Genomic DNA, 6,873 nt, shown 5'->3' with positions numbered 1-6,873 from the left:
ACGTAATCTTCCCTTGCCCAGACTAGGGAGTGAGGATGACCACTTCTCAAAATAGACAAATTCAAAAGTTATGAAGAAGACAATATTGAAAGGACTTGGTGATTGATTTAGATCTGGGTGGACAGGGAGTCAAAAATGATTCCAGCCTTCTGGCAATTCCTCTCTGTGCTCCTTCGTTGCCTCATTTCATATGTTCTCCATCCCAAATTTGCTTCCCAGAAGCATTGCTATTAAACATTTATTATGCATCCTTTGAGTCTTTCACTCTACTTTTGATGCATTTTAACACGTGGGATTATACCCTATGAATCATTTTTGCGAACTGATTTTTCATTTAATAAGATGCTTTGGAGAAGTCTTTGTTTCTTTTTTCTTCTATCTGTCTTTCTATCTATCCATCTATCTATTTATGCTTCTCTTTCTCTCCCTGTCTGTCTCTCTCTCTTTGAGAGACAGGTCTTGCTTTGTTACCCAGGCTGGAGTGCAGTGGCATGATCATAGTTCACTGCAGCCTTGAACTCCTGGGCTCAAGGGATCCTCCTGCCTCAGACTCCTGAATGCTGGGACTACAGGCTCATGCCACCACACCTGACTAATTTTTAAATTTTTTATAGAGAGGGAGGTCTTGCCATCTTGCCCGGGATGGTCTTGAATTCCTGGGCTCAAGCAATCCCCCTGCCTCCGATTTTCAAAGTGCTTGGATGACATGCGTGAGCCACCATGCCTGGCCTATGCTTCCCTTTGAATTCAGAGAATAGGGCATAAAACAAGAACAACCTATTCAATAATTGATGTCATGGATTCATGCAAGGGCTGTGTTCTTGGGCCCTGCCTTAAAGCCAGGAAAGGCAGGGTGGTTAAACTTCATAAATTTGATTTAGTAACCATGTTGAGTAGCCTATGTGAAAAAGTGGTGGGAACATTTTAATGTGGCTTATAATTTATTGTCACATGACCAGAAAAAGAAGTACACTCAACAAATATGTGCCTATGCCACACATTCTTCTAAGCTAACTCCAGAAACATTTTCATTATTTCCTATTTACTCAATTAGGGATAATTTCTCAAGGTTTTTTAGTGTTAGTCCAACTTCTCTTGATGATTTACACATGGTGGGAGAACACACATTTGATTCTATCTGCAAGTGTTTGTTTAATTTTTAATTTTTTTTAATTTTTATTTTTCATAGGTACATAGTAGGTGTATATATTTATGGGGTACATGAGATGTTTTGATACAGGCATGCAATGTAAAATAAGCACATCATGGAGAATGGGGTAGCTATTCCCTCAGGCATTTATTCTTTGAGTTACAAACAATCCAATTACACTCTTTATTTTAAAATGTACAATTAATTTAGTATTGACTACAGTCACCCTGTTGTGCTATCAAATAAATCTTATTCATTTCTTCTAACTATGTTTTGTACACATTACACATCCCCACCTCCCCCACATCCCAGCCCCTCACTACCCCTCTGGTAACAATTCTTCCACTCTCTATGTCCATGAGCTCAATTGTTTTGGCTTTTAGATCCCACAAATAGGTGAGCATGTGATGTCTGTCTTTCTGTGGCTGGCTTATTTCATTTAACATAATGATCTCCAGTTCCATCCATGTTGTTGCAAATGACTGGATCTCATTCATATTTATGGCTGAATAGTACTCCATTGTATATATGTACCACATTTTCTTTATCCATTCATCTGTTGAGGGACGCAGGTTGCTTCCAAATCTTAGCTACTGTGAATGATGCTGCAACAAACACAGGAGTGCAGATATCTCTGCTATATACTGACTTCCTTTCTTTTGGGTATATACCCCGCAGTAGGAATGCTGGATCATATGGTACCTCAATTTTTAGCTTTTTGAGGAACCTCCAAACTGTTTTCTACAGTAGTAGTACTCATTTACATTCCCGCCAACAGTGTGTGAGGGTTCCCTTTTCTTCGCATCCTTGCTAGTATTTGTTGTTTACCTAGCTTTTGGCCATAAGCCATTTTAACTGGGGTGAGAAAATATCTCATTGTAGTTTTGACTTGCGTTTCTCTGATAATCAATGATGTTGACCACCTCTTCATATGCCTGTTTGCCGTTTGTATGTCTTCTTTTGAGAAATGTCTGTTTAAATCTTTTGTCCATTTTTTGCTTGAATTATTAGATTTTTTTTCTATAGAGTTGTTTGTGTTTCTTATATGTTTCCTTTATCTATTTTGAGGAAATTACTACACTTCATTTATCTGACATTATTTGTGGAATAAGGTGTTTTCATCTATTGCATTGTAAGCCTTTAAACTCCAAAATAATATCAATATTTGTATTTTGTGTTCATGTGTAATCTATTTTTGTGTCTGTATTACTTTTAGGTTATAATTAATAATTACATACTTCTAGTTTCTGATCAATATAATAAGAAATTATAAAACTAAACTTGCTCAAATTTAATATTAACCAGCAGTCAGTGATACCCTGAGTGCTCACCAGATGAAGACCTATGAGCATTATCAGGTGCTTGGTTCAAAAGTTTTGCTTTTTCTTAATCTCATATTAGGAGCTATAGCCAGGAAAGTTGATGATAAAGAGGGGTTGAACTTTGAATAGTGGAGTTGACTATCTTTGCCAATACTGATGTAGCATGTATAATCTGCGTGCCTCCCGTACACTGATAATCACAATGTAAAGTTTTATCTTGTAATTACTGCCCAGGCTTTTTTTCCCCCATGGCTCCTTTAGGGCCACTAAGTAACAACGGCACCTATCAATCAGGTATAAGTAAGGGATAACAGAAGCAATAAGAGATTCAAAACAGAGAATCAGATCCTAGAGAAGCAAGCCCTATCTCTATCACAATCAAAAGGCATGGGAATCAGGAAGTCATTGTCCTGAACTTTCCTGCAGTCCAGGGCTCAGATTGTCACTGCTATGTTTGGCTATAGGAGCACATGGCCTGAGCTGCGATCCGGGGATGAGGGAGACACCGTTAGACTGACTGGCTCCAAAGCCAGGTATTTCCTTTGATATTTTCATCTGAAAATGCATGTATGACCTGCCTCTCCATTGCTCCTCACTTGGTTGGTTCTAAATTCAAGTCTTTCAGGAGTGATGCTGATCAATAGAACATAGACCATGTCTATAAACCCCAGCTGCAAGGGAGTTTGGGTAATGTAGTTTCATTTTCTAACTTTGCAGTACAAGAGGACACAGCAGAAGAGGGCGGGGACAGATATGAAGGGAGTTGGCTATGTTGTGGATTCCTGGGCAGGCTCTAGTTTTCATTTTCTGTTGCTGCCTCTGCCTCTGATATTTCCCTTTCTGCTGCACTGGGGCTGTCTACTTCTTCCACTTTTTAGAAAACCATTTCTTCCTTTCCTTTCTTTTCTTCTTCTTCACCTATCCCACCTTGTCCCTTTCTCTTCTACACTGACTCATACACTCTTCTAACTATAGTTTAGCAGACTGCCAAAAGATTCATGACAACAGACATGCACCTTTTCAAGAGAATTCAGATAGCCTTATAGAATGGCTGGTTTATTACAGAATCATCTAAAATTTCTAGCATCTAGACCCACGTATCCATATAAATTTAAAATCTTAAATGTTTAGATCTCCACTTATTACTATCACAATGCAGGAATTTTTTAAAGTGTTTTGCAATGTGTCTTGAAGGCCAATGGAAAAAAATGTTGTTGGCTTTAGGGAAAAAATGATTTCAAAGCAGAAGCCCATAGCCTTGTCTTAGTCCACATAATTATTTAGTTACGTGAATTTTATTTTATTTTACTTTTTGAGTCAGGGTCTTACTCTGTCATCCAGGCTGGAGTGCAGTGGCATGATCACGGCTCACTGTAGCCTTGACCTCCCAGGCTCAAGCGATCTTCATACCTCAGCGTCCCAAGGTGCTGGGACCACAGGCATACACCACCATGCCCAGCTAATTTTTGTATTTTGTAGGGACAGGGTTTTGCCATATTATGCAGGCTGATCTCAAACTCCTGGGCTCAAGTGATTCACCTGCTTTGGCCTCCCAAAGTGCTGGGATTACAGGTGTGAGCCACTGTGTCCAGACCCATGAATTTTAAAATCAAGAATAGGACACCTAAAGTAAGGGAGTTTTCCCTTACTTTAACCTCCCACTTATCCACAAAATTCCATTACACCTTAACAGCATGTATCTTTTTTTATACACCTATAATACAATCTTCTCTCAATTAAGATGATGTATTCAGCAAAGGCCAATTTGTGCTTGCAGATAAGAAGTCTGATTAAAAAGTCAGCTTTGCAAGTTAGAAAATGGATACCTTTGAATGCAAATTCTCAGTTTGATTAGGTTCCAAAAACACTCCCTTGGAAAAATGGAGGGTAACGTGTTCATGGCAAAAGTCATCTCACAAACTTAGTGAAGTCAAAGTTAGAGTATTAGTTGATGGTGGCCAGGCATTTTTATATGCAAATGTTCAAATTAAATTAGGTTATGTAGAATAAATAGCCAAAGGATTAAAAAATCACAAGACAGACACATTCCAACCCTCTAGTGTGTTTCTTTAGCCTTCAAATATCTTTTAAGAGCTTATATGTGTATAGGACATTCACTGCTGCTGACCACACTCATACTGCTGTGTACTATTAATCCCTCTTGAGGAATCTGTCAAATAAAAGCATTTTCTGTCCATCTTCTTTTTTTTTTTTTTTTTGACTGTCCTAAATTGTTTATTAAGTATGAATTTTACAGACTTTACTTATATTAGCGGTAACGGTGGAGCTGGAGAGTATTGCGCCTTCTCCAAGCTGCCCGGCGAGAGCCACCAATAGTGTGGTGGAACTTATGGCCCTTTCCAAGGCCACGGCTCTTTCGGCCTGCAGATGTCAGCCCACGCATCTCCCTGTGCTTGTGGACTGGTTTGGTGATCCACTGGGTGTCAGGATTTCTTCTGATAGCTTTATGGAATGGATCAATGAGGATAACCTCAAAAAATTTGTATGTGGAATCTTCACCAACCCAGTAAGAATTCAGGACCCTCAGAGCCCCACAGTGGCGTCCAACTCGCTCCTCTGCAACGGACTGAAGGCTTCGAGCAAACTTTAGCTGGTTAACACCATGATGGACAGGCTTGCCGTAAGTTGCACCCTTAGGAACTGGGCGTTTTCGGCCACCACGGCGAACACGAATCCTATATATAACGTAACCTTGCTTGGCCTTGTAGCCCAGTCGGCGCGCTTTATCAGGCCGGGTGGGGCGGGGAGCCCTGTGGAGAGCAGAGAGCTGGCGGTACTGCCAGCAGCGGACCCTCAGAAGAAAGCGCATGACATCAGACTGCTTCTTTCTCCATAGCTCCTGGATGTACTTGTATGCACCCATCTTGGCTTACCTGATGGCTGCCGCCAGACGGAAAGGAAAGCCTGTCCATCTTCTTTATTTGTATCTTTTTCCTCGGAGATGTGTGTGTGTGTGTGTGTGTGTGTGCGCGTGTGTGTGTGTGTGTGTGTGTGTGTGTGTGTGTGTATGAGGCTGTTGCAGAAGGTTAGCAGAGGAGGTACCAAAAAACATTGTAAGCTGTGTCAGGGCAGGAATACTTTTCAATATAGTAGTAGAGAGGAAAATCTGATGAATGTAATAACAATAGAACAACTAAGCGGCAAAATAAAGTTCTGACTATCAGCACAATGGAACTTTCAAGTAGAAAATGTGAGCTATGTTCTACCCCAAGAGCTGATACAATCTTCAATCTGTACTTTGCCTCCAACCTCACCTTCCTCTATCCTCCTGCTTCTTCCAAAGATTTTTCTAAAACATACATCTTCTCATTTGCTCTCATTGTTTAAAAACCTTCAGGGGCTCCCTGGTTTCTTGAGGACAATGCCTAACTTCTGTTGAATGAACAGAAAATGATCAGGATTTAGCATCCCTTAACTTTCCCTAAATTATCTCTTGCCTCACCCCTCTGTGTCTATCTCATGCAACTTCTTTCAGGTCCAAATAAGACAGGATCCTTCAATCTCTTGTGTTTTCACATGTCACATCCCTCTTTGAGGAATATCCCTCTCCACTATAATTTATATCCATTCTACTTGATAGACATCTGCTTGAGTGTAAGGGATACTTGTGTACACAGAGTCAGATTCATGACCCCATACCCATGAAGTGTTTTCTACACCGTATCACCTTGACCAAGCTGAATTGACCATTTGGTTCAGTCTATGGTTTCCTAATCCCTTTAGTCTAGATTCTGTGATATTTGACTACATCTATGTTTTTGTATTCCTGGCTCTTGAATTTAGAATTGTGGAAGGATTCACATGTTGTCTTCTTTGTCTCCATAGCATGGTGCCCTGCATCTAGTCACCCCTTTATTTGCTGAATAAGACAACAGTGGAAGAACGATCAGAGGAAATAGTACTTGATCTGAGTCTTGAGCCATTGGTAGGATTTGGGCAAGATTCTGGGGAAGAGAAGGCATATGAGCAAGAGTAAAGAGATGTCTGTGGGGAATTTATGTGCCTGTGTGTGAGAGAGAGGAAAAAAGAAAGAGATAAACAGCTAGAATAGTGGAACTTAAGTTTGAATAAGCGGCACGATACCAAAGTCTCAAACCCCAAGAAGCTACAACCTGATGCCACCACCATGAAATAGGTAAGTTGAGAAAAAGTGCCTGTGTCTCATGTAAAGTGTGAACAATAAAATCACACTGATTGAGAGGTAAAGAAGCCCTATGAGCTATGGCTGAGATATATTAGTCTCCTGACATGTCATGTCCTGTTATAAAATCTTCCTGCCAGTGGAATTTATGTGCATATTAGAATTTTTTATTTCACTGTAAATTGGCAAACTGGATTTGTATATATTTATGGGATACCAAGTGATGTTACGATTTATGA

At 40.1% G+C, this 6,873-nt stretch overlaps 1 pseudogene; it reads right to left on the bottom strand.

The window, feature by feature from the left end:
• On the bottom strand, positions 4,691–5,396 carry RPL15P3 (ribosomal protein L15 pseudogene 3; annotated as a pseudogene).

Source organism: Homo sapiens, chromosome 6, assembly GCF_000001405.40.
Source record: "Homo sapiens chromosome 6, GRCh38.p14 Primary Assembly".
Classification (NCBI taxonomy): Eukaryota; Metazoa; Chordata; class Mammalia; order Primates; family Hominidae; genus Homo; species Homo sapiens.
The sequence above is the reverse complement of the archived record's forward strand: the minus strand, read 5'-3'. Positions and strand labels throughout refer to the sequence as shown.